Here is a 25,335-nt window from a genome sequence, read left to right as displayed (position 1 = left end):
GACAGTGAGACTCCGTCTCAAAAAGAAAAAAAAAAGAAACGAAAATAGAGACAAGGCAACCTTTGCCCAGTCTTTTAAGGGATCAGAGAGGCCTTCCTAAAAAGGGGATGTTTAATATGAGATCCCTAGGGAAAGAGGAGTTGGCTAGATGAAGGAGGTATGTGTCAGCATGGGAGAGCAATAATATCCCAAGATGTGAAAAGACTGGGGCCTAGCATTGGGGATGGAGAAGAGGGGAGGCTCTAGCTTACAAAACAGCTAAAACTGAAGAGTCAAACAGAAGCTTTATATGCTCTACTGATGGTTGGGAATTTTATTCTGAATACTACAGGATTTTTAAGCAAAGGAGTAACTTGCAAAAATTATTTTTTATAATTTTAATTTTGTTACTGATGGAAGTACTGATTTGAGAAGAGCAGAAATGGAGCTCAGGAGACCATTTAAATGACTCCACACCAAGGCAAATTAAATGACCTTACATCATTTCTGTCTTCTGGAACCAACTCTTTTAAGTCAAATGGACAAACTCATGTACCCCATATCAGGTAGATGATAAAGCCAGGTGTTCACACTCTAAACCCGCTTGAGATCATCACTGTGGGCTCAACTTCCATGATGGCTTTGCTATCCTTGCTCTAAATCCTGTGTCTGATTCTGGGAGTTGACCCCATATCCCTTTACAAACCCACTGTCCCTTCTAACCTTCTCTTAACCCTTCACCTCTTGCTATGAAAGTCAGTAAAATGACAACATCGCAATGAAGCCAAAATTATATTGCTTAAAGCCATAAAACTAAATAGAAACCAGGTTATCAAAATAGACTTTTCAACGAAGGTTATTGCTTCACTGGGCTTCACAAATGAAACCAGAAATACCTCTTATGGTCAGTCCAACTCACATATTACAAATACTGAAATGCCCTTTGTCTGCCAGGTGAACTTTTAATGATACCTTAAGACCCAAATCAAAGAATACCTATTTGGTAACACTTCTCTGAATGGCCCCCACCCCAAAAAGGTGAGACATTCACTCCTGTGTTCTTACAGTACTTTGTGCTTGCTTCTTAAATACATGGCTCCAAACCCTAGCTTTGCAACTGATTTTTGGGCAATGCTGATCATGTTTCTTCGCATCAGTAAAGCAGAGAGAAAAACAGAATTTACTTCCTAGTGTCAAATGAAATAATCACTAATGAATTCTTGCCTGGGTCCCCAGTACATGAAAATAACAGCTAGTGGTTGTGAAGAGCTTACTATGGTGTCATTTATAATTTCCCCCACTAAAACAGGAGCTCCTTTAGTGAAAGAGACTTAATTACCTATGAATCCTTACTATCTAACAAGCAGTCTGGCATGTAGAGGGAGCTCCATACATACTTGTGGAGGGCATGAATGAGTGGGTCTAAGCGGGATATCCGATGATCAGTGTCCACTGCCACAAATAAATTAAAGCCCTGGTTCTTGGCAGATTCCCGGTGATGAAGTGTCTGGGTTGGTTCACACAGCCACAGGTTGAGCTCCAGCTCAGCGAGCCTGCTGAGTCGTTTCTGCACACCGACTATCTCTGACTGCTCTTCATCCCAATCGCTGGCTTAATCACCTCTGCTGGCTTCTTTCCTGCGTCTTGGGGAGTGAAAAAGTTTCTGCTACTAAAAGAATGACTGCCTGTGATCCCATCCTTTCCATTTGGACAGTCTCCTATTATTGTCGATTCTCCCCTTGCTTTAACAAGTGGCTTCCGCTTCATCACAAAGCATTCTGTGCTTATATCTCTCTTTATCTCTGTGTGGAGTGGAGCAGAGCAGAGAGAGTTCCTCCCTGCCCACATTGTGCTGACACTGAAAGAGACACAATCATCAGGCGGGGAGGAAAGGTGGCTTTTGAATCAGAACAAATGCATCCCAGCTCAATTCTATGCTTCGTTTAATTAGGAATCAATTGGCTCTGGCCACCATGACTGAGTTCCTCTTTTCATAGGAAACCAGAACTCACTCACTCTCTTTACTTGTAGGAGAAGTGCAGAGACACAAGGAAGAACTGAGTGGAGTTTGGAATAAAAAGCAGCATCTTGCAGAAGGAGAATCAGAGTGACCAAAAATACATATAAACAAAGATGATATAATGAGGAAATTAATCCCAATCCCAAAAATGTATTAAACACCTGTTATTGATATGTGCTAGGAACTGTGCTAGAATCTGGGGGTGCACCTTTAAATAAGATTAGTTACTGCATTCAAGAAATTTGGTGAAATAAAAATCATATGATTATTGGGAGTAACTTACATTATTTAGCTTGAGAAGGGAAAGCAGAAGAGGTGCCATGAGGCTTGTCTCAAAATACATGATGGGGTGTAGAAGTGAGCTTCCTCCAAGCCCCTTAAAATCATCTACAAAACGCTACCCTATCTTGCAACATCATTGTAAATGGGAGTTTCATAGGGCTGTACCTGAAAGCACCTAAAATCACAGCACTCCTGAGAAACGGTAATGTATAAGTGCCTAACTTTGTCGCTGCCAGTGATCCTCCTCCTTCTACCCCCAAGCCAAAGAGAGAGATTCATGTGCTTGTATTAATAAAAAATAAATATTGGTATACCAGTATTTATAAATATTGGTATACCAGTATTTATAAAATACCAATAAATATTGATATTTTAAAATACCAATGCTTTTATTGGTAACATCCTAAGAACACGGGAAATGAAGACTAGGATACACAGCTTGATAGGAGCAGAACTAGAAGCTGATCATCTTTCACACGACCTCAGGAAGTGTGACTTCAGCTGTCATATGGGGGCTTTCCAGCCACAAAGTGTCATTGTCAAGAGTTGCAACCTTTTACTTCATCTCTTTAAATTCACACTTCATACCATTTGTCACACCCAATGGCTCAGAACCAACTCCAAGTTAGCACAGCCCCTCTACTTGAATGTTTGTGACTGTCTCTATTTCTGGGTCACCTGGCTTCACAGCTCTCTTCCTCACTGTCTTCCTCCTTCTGAATTAACAAACTGACTTCAGAGGCAAGGCGAGACTTGGCTTGGGACCCAGATGGCTGTGAGCACACATTTATTAGTCATAACTCTTAGAATTGCAAATTAATGAAGATTCAACTCAAAGTAACATAAGTAAAACAGGGGAATTGTTCAATCATGTAATGGAAAAAGGCTAGTAGGAGAGTTGGTTTTAAGCTTATCCCTCTCTATCTGTCCACCTGTCTATGGATCTCTATCTCTCTGCCTCTCTTTCTTTCCCCATGCCCTGGCTCCACTTTCATCTGTGTACATTTCATACTCAAACAGGAGCTCTCCATGTGGTCTCTGGAAGCTCCCGTCTTTCATCTTTAAACTATAAAAGCAGCACAAAGGACTGCCAACTTCCTTCCAATCTCCCCGGTAACAGTCAAAGTATTAGCTCTGATTGGATTAACTAGGGCATGTGCCCATTCCTGAAGAAAATGCTGTCGCACCAGGGATTGGATCAACTGATGGCCAGGCTGGTCATTCACACACCCCTGAGCTGAAGGTGTGTCACCTCTTGGTCCAAGAGAGGAGATGCTGTGCTTCCTAAATGAGTCTCCAGAAGCTGTTATTAGTGGGACTAATGAATGCTGAGAAGAGAAAGGAAAAAGCCAGAAATTTCCCCTGAGTTCCCACATTGGAACATGCCATCCTAGCTGAGCCTGTAGCTTTCAACTATTTGAGAGGGCAAGCAAGAAACAAAGGCACCTGAACCCAATTTTAGGTGTATAAGACTCGGTTTGTTTCCTGTAGCTCATCATCCTCTTATGTCTTCTGAAAGGAAAAACTGATAGAAAGTGAGGGTGAGAGAATACACAACAGCGGGAAGGACATCAGTTCTCCATCTTTTGTGAGATCAGTGACATCAGATGTTAATAGAGGCAAAATATGACAGATCCAGATGACAACTGCTGGCAGGACTGTGGGGCTGTTCTAGCAGGAAGCTCTCACTTCGTTTTCCTTTAGGACAAGCACACCGATGCAGAGCTGGACTATCTGCACAAACAAATAAGTTGTTTCTGAATTGTAAGTGCTATAAAGAGGATTATAATGAGGATTTGAACTTCAGAGTCTAGCTTAACTTTGGATATGAGAAAGAAACTAACCATCACCTTTTCAAACCTGAATTGTCTCTCTTTACTTCTCCAATCAATTACAAAGGTCATGGATATGGAGAAATTGGAACCCGGATGGTTTAGTTCATATGAAAATATATAAAATATATTTCCACAGCAGAAAGAAATCTTGTCAAAGCATTTTTGAGTGGATTTTTGTTGCTGTTGTTCTGTTTGGTTTGCTTTTTCATTTTATCTGCTGCTTCCCAATGTCCCATCACCTAAGGGTCACTTTATTGTACATTATTTCATCCATGGCTCTACTACTGGGATCTTCATATGGTGCATTTATGGAAACTCATAAATTTTTTGTTTTCATGGCACAAAGTGGAATTTCTAATAACAATAATGTTTTAAATACTATCAATCTCATCATTATCATTATCAATACCAAAAACTATAAAATAAAAACGTAGTACAAGTTTTTATACTAAGTTTAATAGCCATATTGATGAGTGTTTGCAACGCATCATGTTCCCTGTAAGCACTTTATCTGTATTGCCCAAAGTAAGTTTTACAGCAAAACTATGAAGCCAACACTTTTTTTTAATCATCACATTAAAAAACAAAAATTGATACTCAGAAGCCAATGCCTCAACCAGTAGAGGCAGCTAGTGTGTCCTCCCCAACCTGTTCCAGGTCCCTCTCAGCAAACACACATCTTCTGTTCCTTTCCTCTGCCTGCTGCGCTCTCTCCAGCATTTGCAACTGCTGCTCTGTATTCTTAATGCTCTGTCAGGAAAGCTATGTTTTCAGGGCATAATCTCCGTGGCCATAAGTGGTGACCTATCCCCATGTGGCTAACTTCCACCACCTGGCTAACTTCTACTCATGACCTTAGAATAAAAGTCGCCATCTCAGAGTGGCCACTTTCAACGTCCCCTCTTTTTTTTTTAAAACAGTTTCACTCTGTCGACCAGGCTGGAGTGCAATGGCATGATCACAGCTCACAGCAGTGTAGACTTCCCAGGCTCCAGCGATCCTCCCACCTCAGCCTCCAAAGTAGCTGGGACCACAAGCGCATGCACCACGCCTGGCTAAGTTTTGTATTTTTTTGGAGATGAGAGTTGCCGAGGCTGATCGCGAACTCTTGGGCTCAAGAGATCTACCTGCCTGAGCTTCCCAAAATGCTGGGATTTCAGGCGTGAGCCACCGTGCCTGACCAGCATTCCCTCCTCTTTGTAATGTACAGAGTGGGCAGAGATTATCCAGCACTTTCTTCCATGAGACTTGAAGTTTTGCTCGACTTTCACCTAGAGGTGTGTCCTCTGCATTCAGCTCAGTTTCAGTCATCTACTACATATTGCTGAATAGAAAAGTGACTATAGTCACTTCCCAGGTGGGTGGCAGGATGCCGGAGACCACTGTACTCTAAGCAGTTTCTCAGGACTTCCTCCATCTCCCATGGCCATTTTCCAATCCCTTTCTTTGCTAAGCTTTACCTCCTTGACTTGAAAACTATGGTTCTATCCCACATGTTATTTTCTTAAATACCTACAGGAGTATGGAAAAATAATAGAAATGTTTAAAGTCAACCGATCACAAATAGGAATATGTGAAGAATCTGACAAACTAGAGCATGCATGTCCTTTCTAATAGGGATATTTGTTGCCCTAAGGATTGAGAGCCCAATATTCACCAGAACTCCCAAATATTCAAGGGAAGTCAGAAATATTGAGTTTTAGTTTTATATGTAAAAATCTGTCACTATTTTAGTATCATGTACAAGATATATGACATGGCACAACTATTTAACCCCTCTTTGCCTCTATTTCCTCATCTGTAAAGTGGGAACAATGTTGGAACCTAACTCTCAAGGCTACTATGAGATATAAATTATTTGATATTTATGAAGAGTTTAAAGCAGTTCTTGGTGTATGGTAAGTGTGTACATACATATTTGAATATGTATCATCTAATGAATATGTAATATTCAATTTCATGTTAAATACATAATTGAACATTGAATTTATAATTTAATAACAACAAAAAAAAATACCTGTTTAAAGAAAGACACTGTGCAACCAAACGAAACATGTCTACAGGCCACTTGTGGCCTACAGGTTATCAGATTTGAAGTGCTGTTTATATTTTAACTTTTTAACATATATTTTATTGTAGAGACAGGGTCTAGCTATGTTGCCTAGGCTAATCCTCCCACCTTGGCCAGCTTATACTTTAACTGAAAGCTTCATCTTGAACCACCTCTGGATCTGGTCCACCTCCTGACTCTTTTCTCCTACATCGTTTCAAAAATAGCCCTTTCTCTGACCCTAGAGTCAACAATTTTCTTAAGTCATGGCTGCTCAGCTCACCCCTTAGTCTCAAGAATACCCAAGAGGGACAGTTTATAATAGCTGCTTTTTCCCCCTACCCATGGAGATGCAAACTTCACCCTAAAAAGCAAGCTCTGAGGCTTCCTAGGCCTCAGAGGGGTCTCTATCAACCGCAACCCACTTTTCCATCAATCTTATCTGTAATATTTTCGGATCGTGCCTGCCACCCTGAAGCCAGCTGCATTATCTGCAATCAGCAGCATGGTAGGGATGGAGGATAAGCTTGTTCTCAGCAAGCAAGTTGAGAACAGGGCTAAAAATAACCATTTTCAAATTAAATTCTTGAATTGGAAAGGAAAAGAGAGAGGATAAACAGGACACAGTATGGCAGGTTTTATTTATTTACACCAATGAATCAAAGATAAAGGAAGGAAAAAGGCGTTTTGAAGAATTTGGGCGTATGGCAGAATTGTTTCCATCTCTGGTAATGTTGTCAAAACACCAATGATGATGCAAAGCAAATGCCTGTCAGACAAACCCAAAGGAAGCTTATTTACACGTTTGGGATGAGCAGGGTTGTAAATGATGGTTTAATTGGGAAAATCTGCTTAGTCATTTGAACAAGCAGACCTAAAAACAGACATAACATAGTGCTGCAAGGAAAACAAATGTAAGAGAATTTCTCTTTCATTGCTTTACTCTAATGCATTTCCTGCTTTCCTCCTCCCTCTCTCTATTCCATTTTCATTTCCATTAGATAAAAAACTTCTCAGCATTTTCCAGGCTGCCCTTAACCTTTCTGACTTGCTTACTTGGGGCCTGTAGAAGACAAAGCACTCTTTCAATGACTGGAGACAGGCACTAGGCAGTACCCAATGCACGTAGACTGGCCTCTGGGGCTGAAAATGTAGCTTCCTAAAAACAAACAGTACAGAGGCTGATGGATTAGGGAAGGTGTATAGAACATTCAATTTGATGCCTAGCAAATAAAAAGCATTCAATAAATATTAGTTTCCTTACCTGCCACTCAATAGGGAACTGGCATTTATTATTAAAAAAATCACCTACTCACATCTATAATAAAATTTTTTGACTGGGAAGGATTATATCAGTACAGTAACCATGATTATTTCTGGGTAGGAAGTTATTGATACAGTTTCCTGCTTTATATTTTAATTTATGCTTTTCAAATTTTCTGCAAAGATTAGCCACGCATGGTGGTGGCAACCTCTAATCCCAGCTACTCGAGAGGCTGAGGCAGGAGAATTGCTTGAACCTGGGAGGGGGAGGCTGCAGTAGGCCGAGATCGCACCACTGCACTCCAGCCTGGGCAACAAGAGCGAAACTCCATCTCAAAAAAAAAAAAAAAATACTCTGCAATGACAAATTAGAAATAAAATGATTTTTAAATCAAAAATTCTGAATGCTATTTTATTAAATGTAAGTCATTTTCTAGCCTTATAATCACCTATTCCCATTCACTGACCTAACTGTCTAGTAAAAGGTAATTCATTAATGATCTTGAAAACTAAAGTTTTAGTTTTGTCAGTCTTTTCAAAACTGTCCAGAAACTGGCATTTTGCAAAGTTTTCAATGATGAGAGGTTGGCACTACTGCCAACCATAAACTAAATTTGACTTGAAGTGGTTGTAATCTCCCAAAACACACAAAAAAAATACAGAAATATATAAAAGGATTAGTAGGGCACGAACAATTTATTTCATCATTTCAGCCATTATTTCTAGGAAAGCCTTTTTGTTATCTGTAGCAGATATTTGTGATGAATTGTGCCATACATATCCCCTCTGCACACCTAATTTCAGTACTGATGTGGTGGGCAGCTCTGTGCCTCTTTGCCAATGTCCATGGTGTCCTACTGTATCGCTTTCTCAAAAGCTGGGAAAAGTAGCTTAGCCACATGTAGGTGCAACCCAGAAATGTGAGGGAGTCTATGCCCCTCAAGGTAATCCTCATCCAATGGGGGATAAAATCTATGGATAAATGTCCCAGCTTCCTTGTCCTCCCGTAGGACAATTCTAAGCAGTAACCAGCTCGTTAACACGTACTTTACAGTTGTTGTTGTTTTTTTCCCTTTCTTGTCTGTCTCTCTTTCCTTATTCTTGCACTTCCACTTTCTGTGATTGCCTCCAAAACAAACTCCCTGAATCTTAGTCAGTTTGGGGTGTTCTAACAGAATACCACAGACTGGTGACTTAGGCAGCAAACATTTAATTCCCACAAGTTCTAGAGGATAGAAGTTCAAGATGAGGGTGCCAGCATGGTTAGGTCTTTCTTGGAGGCCCTCTTCCTGGTTTACAGATGGCTGCCTTCTTGTTATATCCTCATTTGCCAGAAGGAGAGAGAGATATCATGTCTCTCTCTCTTTATAAGCTCATTAATCTCATCAAGTGGACCCCACCCTCATGACCTAATCTAACCCTAATTACCTCATAAAAGCCCCACCTTGGAATGCCATCACATTGAGGATTAGAGTTTCAACATATCAATGCTGGGGTTAAACACACATTCCACCCATAGCATCCTGCATCAAGTCCTCATCTCAGTGTCAACTTTAAGTGGTAGGAGGACATGTGGTTAAATCCAGACTAGAACATCGTAATTATACATTTCTAGGTTAAAAAGAGTCCTTATGTTGCTAATGACAATAGTGTCACTAATAACAACTGCAGCCTAAATTTTATTGATTAGAATTTGGTGACCAAATCAAACTGACTGTGTAAGCAACCTTATATAATGAGGCTGGAACAAAGTTCCTTGCTGTTTGGATGTTCTGTTTGCACACAGAGCTGTAACCAACACTGAGACAAAGTAAGCAAGTATTTTCATCAGCCAATGGGTAAAACCCACTCTTTTTCTTAACTTTCAGCCTGGAAGAACCAGAATCCTAGGAGCATGGAAGACTTAATTCATTCAACAGTAACCACCTCTTTTTAGCCTAAGACTTTGGCAGCCGAACAACAGAACAGGAATTATGTCAGCTTTTCTGCTTAGCATGAGCTCTGCCCCAGAACCAATGACATAAAATACGTATGTTTGCTTTCCCTGCCACAAAGTTGCGACACATTATCAAAGCTTTACAAAGTCACTCTATCTTAGGACACCCCTAGACAACTTGTTTCCATCTTACTTCTGGGACAAAAATATTTACTGTATCCTGCTTTCATTGTCTTTGTGAATATTACATTAAATGTTGACATGTGCTTGGCAATTCAAATTCATTGGTTAAATGTTTTTCTCCTCTCAAAATTATTTTTAATATAATAGTCTAATAAATATGAATCCAAGATTCCTTACTAAACATGTGACTTTGCCTTGTCCAACCTCAGTATTTTGTTCTATAAAACGCAAGTAACTAGGCAACTCCCATTTTAGGTTGTAAAAATTGCAAAAATTACAAAAATGTGTTCAGTGCAGTCCATGGCAAAAAAAAAAGAACTTCTAAATGTCACATATTATTATTAAAATCAGGTTCAATTACAATAACTGCACAATACAAAAATACAAAGTCAGTATTGCACTTAGACTCTGGAGACACTTTAAAAGACATATGAAGTCTTCTCATTCTAACTCTTTCATTTTGTATTCAATTTAACCTTCATTAAAATTGAGCTATAATGTAGGAAGAGATGAATTTCTCAAAAAAGCAAAAATGATGAAGATGTACATGTAGGAATTCACAATATAGAAAGGAAAGCAGAAACATACATAGATTTGATCAGGCACTAAACACTTACTGAATGCCAGCTTTGTACTAGAAAGCACTAGGTACTAGAGTCAAAAAGATGATTAAACTCTATATCCTCTAAGGGAAGCAGTTGTCCAATAAACAAATAAGAGCCCTATATTAATACGATAGATATTATGTTCAAGGTAACATGAGAAGACTTTAAAAGGAATAATGAGCTTTATTAAGAGGAGCTGGACTCTCCCTCCTCTCCCTCTCCCCCTCCCCCTCTCCCTCCTCTCCCTCTGCCTCTCCCTCCACGGTCTCCCTCTCATGCGGAGCCGAAGCTGGACTGTGCTGCTGCCATCTCGGCTCACTGCAACCTCCCTGCCTGATTCTCCTGCCTCAGCCTGCCGAGTGCCTGCGATTGCAGGCGTGCGCCGCCACACCTGACTGATTTTCGTATTTTTTTTGGTGGAGACGGGGTTTCGCTGTGTTGGCCGGGCTGGTCTCCAGCTCCTAACCGCGAGTGATCCGCCAGCCTCGGCCTCCCAAGGTGCCGGGATTGCAGACAGAGTCTCATTAACTCAGTGCTCAATGGTGCCCAGGCTGGAGTGCAGTGGCGTGATCTCGGCTCGCTACAACCTCCACCTCCCAGCCGCCTGCCTTGGCCCCCCAAAGCCCCGAAATTGCAGCCTCTGCCCGGCCGCCACCCCGTCTGGGAAGTGAGGAGCGTCTCTGCCTGGCTGCCCAGTCTGGAAAGTGAGGAGCCTCTCTGCCCGGCCACCATCCCACCTAGGAAGTGAGGAGCGCCTCTTCCTGGTCGCCATCCCATCTAGGAAGTGAGGAGCGTCTCTGCCCGGCTGCCCATCGTCTGAGATGTGGGGAGCGCCTCAGCCCCGCCGCCCCATCTGGGATGTGAGGAGCGCCTCGGCCCGGCCGCAACCCCGTCTGGGAGGTGAGGAGAGTCTCTGCCCGGCCGCCCCGTCTGAGAAGTGAGGAGACCCTCCGCCCGGCAGCCGCCCCGTCTGAGAAGTGAGGAGCCCCTCCGCCCGGCTGCCACCCCATCTGGGAAGTGAGGAGCGTCTCCGCCCGGCAGCCACCCCGTCCGGGAAGGAGGTGGGGGGTCAGCCTCCCGCCCGGCCAGCCGCCCGTCCGGGAGGGAGGTGGGGGGGTCAGCCCCCCACCCGGCCAGCTGCCCCGTCCGGGAGGGAGGTGGGGGGGTCAGCCCCCCGCCCGGCCAGCCGCCCCGTCCGGGAGGTGAGGGGCGCCTCTGCCTGGCCGCCCCTACTGGGAAGTGAGGAGCCCCTCTGCCCGGCCACCACCCCGTCTGGGAGGTGTACCCAACAGCTCATTGAAAACGGGCCATGATGACAGTGGCGGTTTTGTGGAATAGAAAAGGGGGAAAGGTGGGGAAAAGATTGAGAAATCGGATGGTTGCTGTGTCTGTGTAGAAAGAAGTAGACGTGGGAGACTTTTCATTTTGTTCTGTACTAAGAAAAATTCTTCTGCCTTGGGATCCTGTTGATCTGTGACCTTACCTCCAACCCTGTGCTCTCTGAAACATGTGCTGTGTCCACTCAGGGTTAAATGGATTAAGGGCGGTGCAAGATGTGCTTTGTTAAACAGATGCTTGAAAGCAGCATGCTCGTTAAGAGTCATCACCACTCCCTAATCTCAAGTACCCAGGGACACAAACACTCTGCCTAGGAAAACCAGAGACCTTTGTTCACTTGTTTATCTGCTGACCTTCCCTCCACTATTGTCCTATGACCCTGCCAAATCCCCCTCTGCGAGAAACACCCAAGAATGATCAATAAAAAAAAAAAAAAAAAAAAAAAGAGGAGTTGGAGGTAGAGACAAGTTAAGTAAAGCTTCTCAGTTATGACTGTTAAAGTGGTACATGAAGGATGAATAGGAGTTCATAAGTTAATCAAAGGGAAGAGAGGGTTCTAGGGCACAGCATAAACAATAGCAAGGAAAAGTATAGCATCTTCAGGGAACTCCAAGTAAATTAGATTAGAGCCAGAAGAAATGGGTAAAATAAGGAGGAGAAATGAGAAAAAAAAACACAATTCTCATAAATGTTAGGTTGCAATTTTTTGAAATGACCATAATGGAGTTATAAGCAAACTTGAATAAAATATTAATGTCACATAAGGATAGATCACTTGTTCATTTTTACCTAGTTTGTGGCAAAACTAAACCTAGAAGCTGTCTCCCAACTCCAAGTGTGGTGCTCTATCCTCCAGACCAGTGGTTCATAAACAAGGGTCCCAGGACTAACAGTTTCAGCACTACCCAGGAGATTATTAGAAATACACATTCTCAGACTTCGTTCCAGAACTACTGAGCGAGAAACTCTGAGGATACAGCCCAGAAATGTGGGCCTTTAAAAGCCCTCCACCTGATTCTGAATTACACTAAAATTTGAGAATTGCTGCTCTCGACCATGTTGTGATTTTCACATTCCCAAGGAATTTTCACGAAGGAAACTAAAGGAAAAGCAAAGATTGCCTCTTTTTTTGGTCAATTGAGAAAACAGCCTTATGTTCATAATAAAACTCTATCAATCAAGGACTTTGTGAAAATGGTATGAAAACGTTCTGCTTGAGGGAGTCCTTTGATGGCCAATACCCTAGCAGTCACAACAGGTTCAGGTGGCTGGAAAAATCAGTTACAGATGTCTTTTAGGTGCGAGCTATGTGAAGACCCAAGAACAGGTGCCCACCAGTGTACCTGCTGGAAGGAGTAAGGAGAGAGAAAGAAAATTATAAGAAATGGAAGAAGATGGTCACCTCTTTTCCCTAGAGTTTACTAAATTTATACTTCAAGAACTCAAGTAAGTCAATTCTCAACTTTGCAACATTTTAGAGTTTAGGGGAATGTGAACAAAAGTCTATTGGGTCATTTTTACCGTCACTCACCCCTGTGTTCTCAGTGCCTGGCTCAGTTTCTTGAATATAGTATGTATTTAATAAAAGATTGTTAACTATATAGATGACATAATTAGTACACAGAATAAACTAATGTTTTGAGTGTATGTCTACAGACGACTAACCAAAAAAGTTAAAAATAGACTGAAAACAAAAATTAAAGCTGATTTTATATAACTGAACATAAAATGTTTGAAGAAATGCAGTCTGAACACAAAGGTTATCGCATTGATTTTTCTGAAATTAGAATCATTCTGCATCCAATCAACCTGCCTCTCTGTTGCTGACATCCACCATTGAAGAGATGAAGAAAAATCTCATTTGTGCCAGTATCTGGCAAACTAGCACAAGTTAATTAGTCAATTAAACTATCAGTGTAATAGGGAATGTTACAAACTAACATTAGCAGGTTAAGAGAGGCGAGCTGTATAATTCATAAAGAGAAATACAAGTCCACAACAGGAATTCAGATGTAGCTTAAATAAAGATGAATCGTGGCAAAACTGAATTAAAGACAGGGTCTGAGTGACCTCTAGTGTTACTGAGAAGAATATTAAGAAAGTAAAAGAAAATAGCCCATGATTCTGAATCCTAAGTGTGTGTGTGTGTGTGTGTGTGTGTGTGTATGTGTGTGTGTGTTGTATAAGCTTCATTGCAACATAGTTATCATTTCATCCATTTAAAAGTCAACTAAGAAACAACATGTAGAATTTCACATTTCAGTCTTCATCACTGAAACTCTCTGTTCTGACTTACCGACTTAGTATTAAAATGTCTTCTTTTGTATATATACAAAAGTTTGAGATCTCAGCCTTACTACTCAAATGCCTTTGGGAAAAACAGTCTTGTATTAAATGTTAAATAACACAAGGTTTCCCAGATGATATTGGGAAAAGGTCAAGGGAATACAGAGAAGCAATAAAGTCATTCCAATTTTAATGTTCAGAGAGAATGCTTACATTCAGTTGCTTCACCTTCTAATGTATGCATTGATTTTTCTAAAAGCACAAGCTCTGATCACCTTCAATCAAGATTCTTCAAAACCCTCTGATTACCTACCAAATTAAGAACCCATTCTTAGGTGGATTATTCAAGGGCTTCCATGAAATGATCCCCATGACCTTCATTTCCTCTGAAGAAGGCACTGCTGTATGTCACCACACCAGTATCATTCCTGCACATGCAGACTTCTCACATACTAATGTCTTTTTTAACTTCTAGAATTCCACAAACCTTTGTGTAAAGATAGTCCCAAATCTTGGAAGGGCTTGCAGCTTATTTTTAATAATGTCCTGATTTCAACTCCTATTTCTATCACCTGCTAAATGTGTAATTTTTTAAAAATTGCTTAGCCTAACTTAACTCAGTTTGATCATCCCTGATACAAGGATCATGAATATATTACCCCCACTACCACTGCATAACAGAAAGTAAAGAAGGGTAGAATGAAATCAAGGTCAAATACCATCTCTGTCATTGATTAACTTTGGCATTCTGAAGAAGACTGTCACTGTCTTAGTTCCAGTTTCCTGTCTATAAAACAGGTACAATTATAACCAACTTTATAATATTAACATGAGGATTAAAAGCAGATGGCTTATATGAAAAAGAACCCAGTGTACCCTAGGCACTCAATAAGTACTTAACTCTGCACACTCTGGGACCAGTGCTTCTGCCCAACTCTTCCATTTGGGGTAGGGGCATGGATGTTGGGTGAGGCCATCAAGCTTTCTAGCTGAAGTTTCTGCTTATCCTAGACCTCCTTTTCCTATTGCAAACGTAGGTCAAAGATTCAAGAAGATGTTAATAGCACATCTAAGGCATGGTTACTATGGGCCACCTGATCATCACATTTAGTTTTCACCTACAGTCTTGACCTCTTGTGTCTTCTGCTATAACTTACAGGATGGCTCATTCAGCTCTAAGCTATATGCAGTAAAATTATTTTAGCCATAGTCTTGGTCTAAGCCAGGCTCAGGGTGAAAAGTTAAAACAAAGCTTTATTGTATGGTTCCACTAATATGAGATGCCTAGAGTTGTCAAACTCATAGAAACAGAAACTAGAGTGGTGGTTTCCAGGAGTGGAAAGTGGAAAGTTGTTTAATGGGTATACAGTTGCAGTTTTGTAAGATGAAGGTTCTGGAGACCAGTTGCACAACAATGTGAATATATGTAACACTACTGAACTATACACTTAAAAGTGGTTAAGACTGGCCGGGCTCTGCAGCTCATGCCTATAATCCCAGCACTTTGGGAGGTTGAGGCGGGAGGATGACTTGAGCCCAGGAATTCGGGACCAGCCTGGGCAATATAGCAAGACCCCATCTCTAAAAAATTAAAAATTAAAAATGTTTTAAATGGTCAAAAAATGTTTTAATTGGTACCAAAACAGAGATATAGACCAATGGAACAGAACAGAACCCTCAGAAATAATATCACACATCTGCAACCATCTGATCTTTGACAAACCTGACAAAAACAAGCAATGGGGAAAGGATTCCCTATTTAATAAATGGTGCTGGGAAAACTGGCTAGCCATATGTAGAAAGCTGAAACTGGATCCCTTCCTTACACCTTATACAAAAATTAATTCAAGATGGATTAAAGACTTAAATGTTAGACCTAAAACCATAAAAACCCTAGAAGAAAACCTAGCCATTACCATTCAGGACATAGGCATGGGCAAGGACTTCATGTCTTAAAACACCAAAAGCAATGGCAACAAAAGCCAAAATTGACAAGTGGGATCTAATTAAACTAAAGAGCTTCTGCACAGCAAAAGAAACTACCATCAGAGTGAACAGGAAACCTACAGAATGGGAGAAAATTTTTGCAATCTACTCATCTGACAAAGGGCTAATATCCAGCATCTACAATGAACTCAAACAAATTTACAAGAAAAAAACAAACAACCCCATCAAAAAGTGGGCGAAAAATATGAACAGACGTTTCTGAAAAGAAGACATTTATGCAGCCAAAAGACACATGAAAAAATGCTCATCATCACTGGCCATCAGAGAAATGCAAATCAAAACCACAATGACATACCATCTCACACCAGTTAGAATGGCAATCATTAAAAAGTCAGGAAACAACAGGTGCTGGAGAGGATGTGGAGAAATAGGAACACTTTTACACTGTTGGTGGGACTGGAAACTAGTTCAACCATTGTGGAAGTCAATGTGGCGATTCCTCAGGGATCTAGAACTAGAAATACCATTTGACCCAGCCATCCCATTACTAGGTATATACCCAAAGGATTATAAATCATGCTGCTATAAAGACACATGCACAAATATGTTTATTGTGGCACTATTCACAATAGCAAAGACTTGGAACCAACCAAAATGTCCAACAATGATAGACTGGATTAAGAAAATGTGGCACATATACACCATGGAATACTATGCAGCCGTAAAAAATGATTTGAGTTCATGTCCTTTGGAGGGACATGGATGAAGCTGGAAACCATCATTCTGAGCAAACTATCACAAGGACAAAAAACCAAAGACCGCATGTTCTCATTCACAGGTGGGAATTGAACAATGAGAACACATAGACACAGGAAGGGGAACATCACACTCTGGGGACTGTTGTGGGGTGGGGGTAGGGTGGAGGGACAGCATTAGGAGATATACCTAATATTAAATGACAAGTTAGTGGGTGCAGCACACCAACATGGCACATGTATACATATGTAACAAACCTGCACGTTGTACACATGTACCCCAAAACTTAAAGTATAATAAAAAAAAATTATGAGATGAAATTCATTATCCCTTAAACACAACTTCTTTAGGCATCTCCATGACAGGTCACATAACACACAGTGAGCTTGCATGCAAGCATACCAACACACACAGAATAGGAAGGGTAGTTTGTTTGCTTTGTTTGTTTCTGTTTGTTTTGAGACAGAGTCTCCCTCTGTCGCCCAGGCTGGAGTGCAGTGGTGCAATCTCGGCTCACTACAAGCTCTGCCTCCCGGATTCAAGCGATTCTCATGCCTCAGCCTCCTGAGTAGCTGGGATTACAAGCATGCACCACCATGCTCAGCTAATTGTTTGTGTTTTTAGTAGTGATGAGGTTTTGCTATGTTGGCCAGGCTTGTCTCAAACTCCTGGCCTCAAGTGATCCACCCACATCAGCCTCCAAAAGTGCTGGGATTACAGGCCTAAGCCACTGTGCCCAGCCTCTTTATTTTTAACATAAACAGAATTACGACATGAGGTAGGATAGTTTTTGTCTAATAACATAATTTTTCTAACTGGCCCCACACCAATATCACAAATTCTACATTATTTTGACCCCATGTTCAGGATGGGAAAGAGTACACCTCCTTGAATGCCACCTAACATATAAGAAAAGGTTTTGATTCTAACTCATTTGGCTAAAAGTAAAAGGAATAAAGGGATCCACATTCATCTTCCACCTAGAGCAACTTGGGCAGAACCTGGGATAAGGCCCCAGTATAAATAGCTTTGAATTCCTTTCAATTATTACCAGGATTTTGTATGATCCTTAAAATGATTTCTCAACAACAGTTAGCAGCAATTCCTGATACTCCTGAAAACTTAGAGCAAAGGAAGGAGTCCCAAAGCCACCTCCAGACCTGTGGCCCTTCCTGCTGAATATGCTGGGGGGAAAAAAAGGAGAAAAAGCTAAAAGTCTGCACTGCTGCTTTCTCAGATTGGAAATTCCAAATTACTTTTTTTTTTTTTTTTTAATTTTTTTTTTTTTATTATACTCTAAGTTTTAGGGTACATGTGCACATTGTGCAGGTTAGTTACATATGTATACATGTGCCATGCTGGTGCGCTGCACCCACTAACGTGTCATCTAGCATTAGGTATATCTCCCAATGCTATCCCTCCCCCCTCCCCCGACCCCACCACAGTCCCCAGAGTGTGATATTCCCCTTCCTGTGTCCATGTGATCTCATTGTTCAATTCCCACCTATGAGTGAGAATATGCGGTGTTTGGTTTTTTGTTCTTGCGATAGTTTACTGAGAATGATGGTTTCCAATTTCATCCATGTCCCTACAAAGGACATGAACTCATCATTTTTTATGGCTGCATAGTATTCCATGGTGTATATGTGCCACATTTTCTTAATCCAGTCTATCATTGTTGGACGTTTGGGTTGGTTCCAAGTCTTTGCTATTGTGAATAGTGCCGCAATAAACATACGTGTGCATGTGTCTTTATAGCAGCATGACAAAAGCCAAAATTGACAAATGGGATCTAATTAAACTAAAGAGCTTCTGCACAGCAAAAGAAACTACCATCAGAGTGAACAGGCAACCTACAACATGGGAGAAAATTTTCGCAACCTACTCATCTGACAAAGGGCTAATATCCAGAATCTACAATGAACTCAAACAAATTTACAAGAAAAAAACAAACAACCCCATCAAAAAGTGGGCGAAGGACATGAACAGACACTTCTCAAAAGAAGACATTTATGCAGCCAAATTACTTTTAAAGCCTCCTCATGAATGTGTGCCTCTAATAGCCTAACCCCTATTATTGGCCTGATATACAGAATCCTTAGAGCTTGATGAAAAAGGATAAAACTCAGGAGTTTCAGGTGTAAGTGAACTGAAACAACGCGGCCCATTTATTCTCAGATCCTTGTCCTTCTCAAGTCAGTTTTCCCTATGATGGTATCTCGGTACTTCTGGGCAGATTCTAGCAATCTTAGGTGTTCTCTTGCTCATGCTCACATTTTATTTAAGTTAGTTGTTTTAACTTTTTATTGACGTATAACATACACACAGAAAAGTGCACAAATTCTAATTGTACAAATTGATAAACTTGTCACAAAGTAAACATTTCTGCATAGACAGCACCCAATCAAAGAACACGGTATTGCCACAGTCCCCAAAGTCCCCTTATGCCTTGAACAAATTACCCAGGCAAGGGTAACTGGTATACCAATCAGAGTGACTTCTAACACCATGCATTCATTTTGCTTCTCTTCTTTTTCAGAACTTTATAGAAACACAATCACACAGAGTGATCCCTAAATTCATGAGATTCATCTATACTGTTCTGACTATAGTTTGTTCACTCTCATTGCTGTACAGTGTGACTATATCAAGATTTGTCTATCTGGTTGTAAATGCAGGTCTCCATATAGCCATTAGCCCATCATATTTGGGTCTGTGAATGCAAATCAAATCATTGTGCCCTAAGTTTCTAGCAATCTTCTAATGATGCTCGGACAGTAGCCCCACGAATTCCTTGCCATCCCCTGTCCATGCCAGTGATTCCCAAACTCCGACTCTTAGGTCCAACCAACCACTGCCCCATGTAAGAACCAGGAAGTCCTTTTGCCAGAGAACAATACAACCTTTCTATGTTTGTAGAGATTCTGTTATTGCCTTACAGATTATTTTTGAAATTTCTATATTCTATCTGGTTTAGTTCCAGTCAATAAGTTTTATTAGAGTTCTATCTCAGTGCCAAGCACTGTGCTGCTTGCTGGGCTATGAAATAAAGGAAGGTATAGTCCCACAATTGGGGGAGCTTAGACGCTGTTAGAAATAAACATGAGGCCGAGCTTGGACTCTGTTAAAAATAAACATGAGGCCGGGTGCGGCGGCTCACGCCTGTAATGTCAGCACTTTGGGAGGCCGAGGTGGGTGGGTCACCTGAGGTCAGGAGTTCGAGACCAGCCTGGCCAACATGGTGAAACCCCATCTCTGCTAAAAATACAAAAATTAGCCAGGTGTAGTGGCGCATGCCTGTAGTCCCAGCTACTCAGGAGGCCAAGGCAGGAGAATTGCTTGAACCTGAGAGCTGGAGATTGCAGTGAGCTGAGATTGCACCACTGCACTCCAGCCGGGGCGACAGAGCAAGAGTCTGTCTCAAAAAAAAAAAAAAAGAAAGAAAAGAAAAGAAATAAACATGATATTGCTTATGTGCCCCCCTCCACCAAAGTATATGTGCTGCCCAAATCTCTCATCAATGTAGTTCTAACTCCAGGGAAGAGTAAGCACATAGCCCCAGGGCTGAGGGAGAATCAGGAAGTCTTAAGTAATCGCTTAATGAATGCCATTTAAGTATTGTATATCAGTAAAGGTTAGCTTAATAATATAATCATGCCTACTTTAATATTAAAAACATTTCCCTTCATTATTGTCAGTTAAAACAGACACTTCCTGACAATGTGTCCTGTTTAACACCTGAAATTTAGTACCCCTATGAATCACCAATATTTTAAACCACTACAGACATCACCACAGAAGTCTGAAAAGGACGAATCTAAACAACCTGTAAAAATTTACCACATAATAAAAGGAGAAGAGGCACCTCAATCAATCTTGTACATGAGCCACAAAAACCTGGCCATACTGTGTTTTCACATATACTAATTGACCTATTTTCCCAGAAAATAAATAATTCTTCAGATATTTTATTCATTTTAAACAACCATGCATATCATAGTATCTGAGGCTTTAAATCACAAATCTCCCTAAAACACAACCTGAAATTCTAGTGTCATTCATATATTTAATAACCAAAAAAGTAATACTTATGATTTTCCTAACTGCTTGAAAGTAGAAAATGACTCCTGGGAAGGCAGAGAAGCCAATTTGCTATGAGCAGCTTTCATTTCCTACTCTTAATTCAAACCTGCATAAAATTGTTTGAAGTCTTGGCACCAGTAGTGGCATTCCAATGTAGCTCATAGGAAGACCTTTTAGGAGGGACATTTAGATGTAAAATACAGTCTGCATATCAACCGAAACAGTCTGCGGACTTCGAGTCCTTAAAACAGACATCTTTCTAACCACAAAGAAGGAAATACATGAGAGTGGCACAGATGATCATAACTAAAGGTGAGATTCCTTCGCGTACTCTTATTTGGGCTTTTTTGCTGTGTCTTTCTGTGAAAAGAGAAACATTATCTCTTTTTACTCGTTCATATGCACATCCTCTAAGTCAGGGGAAGCCCAAGGGTATGTACAAAGGGGAAACCTCAGGATGTAGGTAAGAATTAAAGCCTTGAAGTCAAATGTTATCATCTAGGCTAAAGAAGAAAAGAAAAGATGCATGAGGTCTGAGCGCTAGTCTGATCCAATATCAACGTAGGGAAGAGGAGGACAGGCTGAAAGTGAACTTTAGAAGAAGCAGCCTATGGTGTAGGAGGAAAAACAGGAGAGTGGGGTGTCTTAAAAACAAATAACCCAATCAAAAAGTGGGCAAAGTACATGAATAGACACTGCTCAAAAGAAGGTGAAAAATGCTCATCATCAGTAATCATCAGAGAAATGCAAACCGAAACCACAATGCCATACTATCTCACACCAGTCAGAATGGCTTTTATTAAAAAGTCAAAAAAAAAAACAGATGTTGGTGAGGCTGTAGAGAAGAGGGAACATTTATACACTGTTGGGAGGAATATAAATTAGTCTAACCACTGTGGAGAGCAGTTTGCAGAATCCCAAAGAATTAAGAGTTGAACTACCACCTGACCTAGCAATCTCATTACTGGGTATATACCCAAAAAACAGCTAATCATTCCATCAAAAAGACACATGCACCCATATGTTCATTGCAGCACTATTCACAATGGCAAAGACATGGAACCAACCCAGATGTCCATCAACAGTGGACTGGAGAAAGAAAATGTGGTACATATACAACATGAAATACTACACAGCCATAAAAAGGAATAAAGTCAGTCGTGTTTTTTGCAGCAATGTGGACGGAGCTGGGAGGCATTATCCTAAGTGAAGTAATGCAGAAAGAGAAAACCAAATACCACATGTTCTCACTTATAAGTGGGAGCTAAATAATGGGTCCTCAGGGACCCAAAGATGGCAACAATAGACACTGGGGCCTACTAGAAGGAGGAGAGGGGGAGCAAGGCAAGGGCTGAAAAACTACCTGGCCGGGCACGGTGACTCACACCTGTAATCTCAACACTTTTGGAGGCCGAGGCAGGTGGATCACGAGGTCAGGAGATTGAGACCATCCTGGTTAACACGGTGAAACCCCGTCTCTTCTACAAATACAAAAAAAAATTAGCTGGGCATGGTGGCGGGCGCCTGTAGTCCCAGCTACTCGGCAAGCTAAGCCAGGAGAATGGTGTTAACCCAGGAGTCGGAGCTTGCAGTGAGCCGAGATCACGCCACTGCACTCCAGCCTGGGCAACAGAGCAAGACTCCTCCTCAAAAAAAAAAAAAAAAAAAAAAAAAACTACCTATTGGGTACTATGCTCACTACCTGGGTGATAGATTCATTCACACCCAAAACCTCAGCATCATGCATTTTACCTTTGTAGCAAACCTGCACATGTACCCTCTGATTCTAAAACAAATGTTGGAAAAAAATTACGTTGGGGGAAAGAAATGTTTCAACCAGGAAGGGATAATCAACCATTCCAAAAGCTGCTCAAAGGCTAAACAAGATGAATTTTAAGAAGTGGCCAATGACAGCAGCAAGAGAAAGGCACAGACAAGCATGACAAATGAAGTTTCTAGAGGTAGGGAGGGCAGAAATGGAGGAAAGGAAGTACAGCGAAAATATATAAATACAGGATACAGATACTTTTCAGAAATTTGCAATAAAGAAAAATACACAAGTTGATAGTATCTGAAGCAGAACTTTTTTTTTTTTTTTTTTTTTTTTTTTTTTTTTTTTTGAGACAGGGTCTTGCTCTGTCATGCAGGCTGGAATGCAGTGGCATGATCATAGCTCACTGCAACTTCAATCTCCCGGGCTCAATGTATCCTCCACCTCAGCCTCCTGAGTAACTGAGACTACAGGTGCATGTCACCATGCCTGGCTAATTTTGGTATTTTTTGTAGAGATGGGGTTTTGCCATGTTGCCCAGGCCGGCCTCTAACTCCAGGGTTCAAGCAATCCTCCTGCCTTGACCTCCCAATGTGCTGAGACTACAAGCCTGAGTCACCGTGCCCAGCCAGGACTTTTAAAAGGTGAAATATATGAGGTCATGTGTTTATACTGATGAGATAAATCTGGCAAGAAGAGGAAAATGGGTGATTCAGAAGAGAAAGGAGTGAATGCAGGCTTGAAGTTCTCAAGCAGATGACAGACAGGTATGAGGTCTAGTATCCGAGGTGTGTGAGGAGGGGAACAGATAAAGGCTGGACATTTCCTCCTCTATGAAAGAGGGATCGGCAGAAGATGTAGGCATTTGGGAGATTTATCACCGGGAAGCTGGATTAATTTTCTTCTGATTACTTCTGTTTGTTTCAGTGAAATAAACAGGGAGGCGATAAGCTAGGAAAAGAGGAAGGGGGTATTGAAATTTTGAGGAAAAAAAGGGATAGTTTTTTTTATAATTCTGATAACTTGTGGTGTTTTCCTCATGGAGCCCCAGCTAGTAGGAAAAAGACACCCAAAAATTCTCTCACAGTTGCACAACAACAATAGAGAAGAGGCCAGGTGAAGAAAAATAACAGCTGTTGGGAGAGAGTAAACAAGAGGACCCTACTTTACCTGGGAGTGTAGCTGAGGTGCAGAGAAGTAATGGAGGGCCTCTCAGATTCTGAGACCTAAAATCTGAGTTGGCATGTTCCAGAAAAGCATGCAGGGAAGAGTAGAAGAACTTGGCAAGTTAAAAAGACTGAGGCCAGGCACAGTGGTTCACACCTATAATCCCAGCATGTTGGGAGGCTGAGGTGGGAGGATCACTTGAGTCTAGGAGTTCGAAACAAGCCTGGACAACAGAGCAAGACCCCAGTTCTACAGAAAGAAAAAGAAAAAATCAGCCAGGTGTGATAGTGTGTGCCTGTGGCCCCAGCTGCTCTGGAGGCTGAGGCCAGAGGATCGCTTGAACCCAGGATGAGGTCAAGGCTGCAGTAAGCTGTAATGGCACCACTGCACTCCAGCCTGGATGACAGAGAGAGACCCTGTTTCAAAAAAAATACTGAGAGAAGCCCATTGTGGATAGAATACAATGAGTTGACGGGGCATGAAGTGAGTCTGTAGAAACAGATGGAGGCCAGACCATGGGGGTCCTTCTGCGTCAGGCTGGGGATTGGTGTTTTTGTTTCAATGGTGTGAAGAAGCTCTTGAAGGCTTTTTAGCAATGTTCACAGCAAAAATAATCAAAAGTGCCTATGACACCATTCTATCTGGCTGCAGTGTAGAAAATGATGCAGAAGTGAAAATAGTATAATTGGGGGAAACAGGCCATTGAGGTAGAGGAAATGACAGTGTCTTAAACCAAGGGGATGATAGTGAGATGGAGAAATATTTCAGAACTAGAAATGACAGGACCTGTCATTAGATTACAGGCAAGGAGTTAAGGAAAAGAGAGATGTCAAAGATGAATTATTAACAGTATGACATTGAGGTGGTGGGGTGGATATATCACTGGAAAAAAAAAAGGGGGCAATTTGAGGAAGAAGCAAAACAGATTCCAGTGGATCAGGCTGAGCAAGAGGCCATCTAACATTGGCCCTGGTGAATTTGAAATGCCGGCATCACATTTACCCTCACACCAAGCCCCAGCCCCTTGTATCAAAGCAATGTGAATCTGGGGTGGGGGAAAAAGCTGGAGACATTAGCACTTGCCTGTGGGACTAAAGGGTTCTATATTCAGAGATGTTTTACTTCAGTCAAAATACAAACAAAGAGAAATGGTAATTATCCAAGCCAGAACCTAAAGAATTCAAGCTAAGTAATGACTCACAGCACTAGAACCAATTAAACACTGAGATCTGAAAGACAGTATGGTAGCATCGCTCATAAAATGCAAACACTCTATCATTCATGGAATTTGGCCCCACTACAAGGAGAAAACAATCAAATAAAGGAAGTCTTCATGAACTATGTGTTGACTTCCTTCTTAACAATTTGACAGACAAGATACAAAAAGCTTCCTTTTGGAGCGGACTCCATTCTAAGAACAGTAACCAACAATCTGGCTGACTGGCTAAAACTATCAGTTAAGAAAACAAGTGAGTTTTCCATCCCATTCTCAGCATTCCCCTCTTATGTTTTCCCCTTCACATATATTTTGAGATAGAATAAGAACCCCATCTAGAGTTTAGCATAGGAAATTGTTCAAGTAGAAAACTATACGAAAATAACTCCACTGGAGAGAAATGGTTGAAAAACAGTACTAGGATACATGATTTCTAGATGTATTGTTGATCCAATGTGGTATGGTAAAAATAGACCTTACTGATAAATTAATACTTATGTATGTGGATATAGATGTAGATATTTGGGCAGAGCTTTGTAAAAATATTAACATTTAAGAAATTAACAGCATGTGACCAGGCATGGTGGCTCACACCTGTAATTCCCAGCACTTTGGGAG

General features: G+C 41.2%; 2 long non-coding RNA genes across 3 annotated transcripts in view; one reads left to right on the top strand and one right to left on the bottom strand.

Moving 5' to 3' along the window:
- LOC105371296 (uncharacterized) overlaps positions 1-9,645 on the top strand; it is a 32,515-nt gene extending 22,870 nt beyond the window's left edge. For both annotated transcript variants that reach the window (NR_188481.1, NR_188482.1), the window contains exon 3: positions 9,298-9,645. This is a non-coding gene — a long non-coding RNA (uncharacterized LOC105371296). The remainder of the gene's footprint in view (positions 1-9,297) is intronic.
- Positions 1-25,335, bottom strand: part of LOC107984867 (uncharacterized) — a 114,037-nt gene that overhangs the window by 6,256 nt on the left and 82,446 nt on the right. The window lies entirely within an intron of this gene.

This window comes from Homo sapiens, chromosome 16 (genome assembly GCF_000001405.40).
Source record: "Homo sapiens chromosome 16, GRCh38.p14 Primary Assembly".
NCBI lineage: Eukaryota > Metazoa > Chordata > Mammalia > Primates > Hominidae > Homo > Homo sapiens.
The sequence above is the reverse complement of the archived record's forward strand: the minus strand, read 5'-3'. Positions and strand labels throughout refer to the sequence as shown.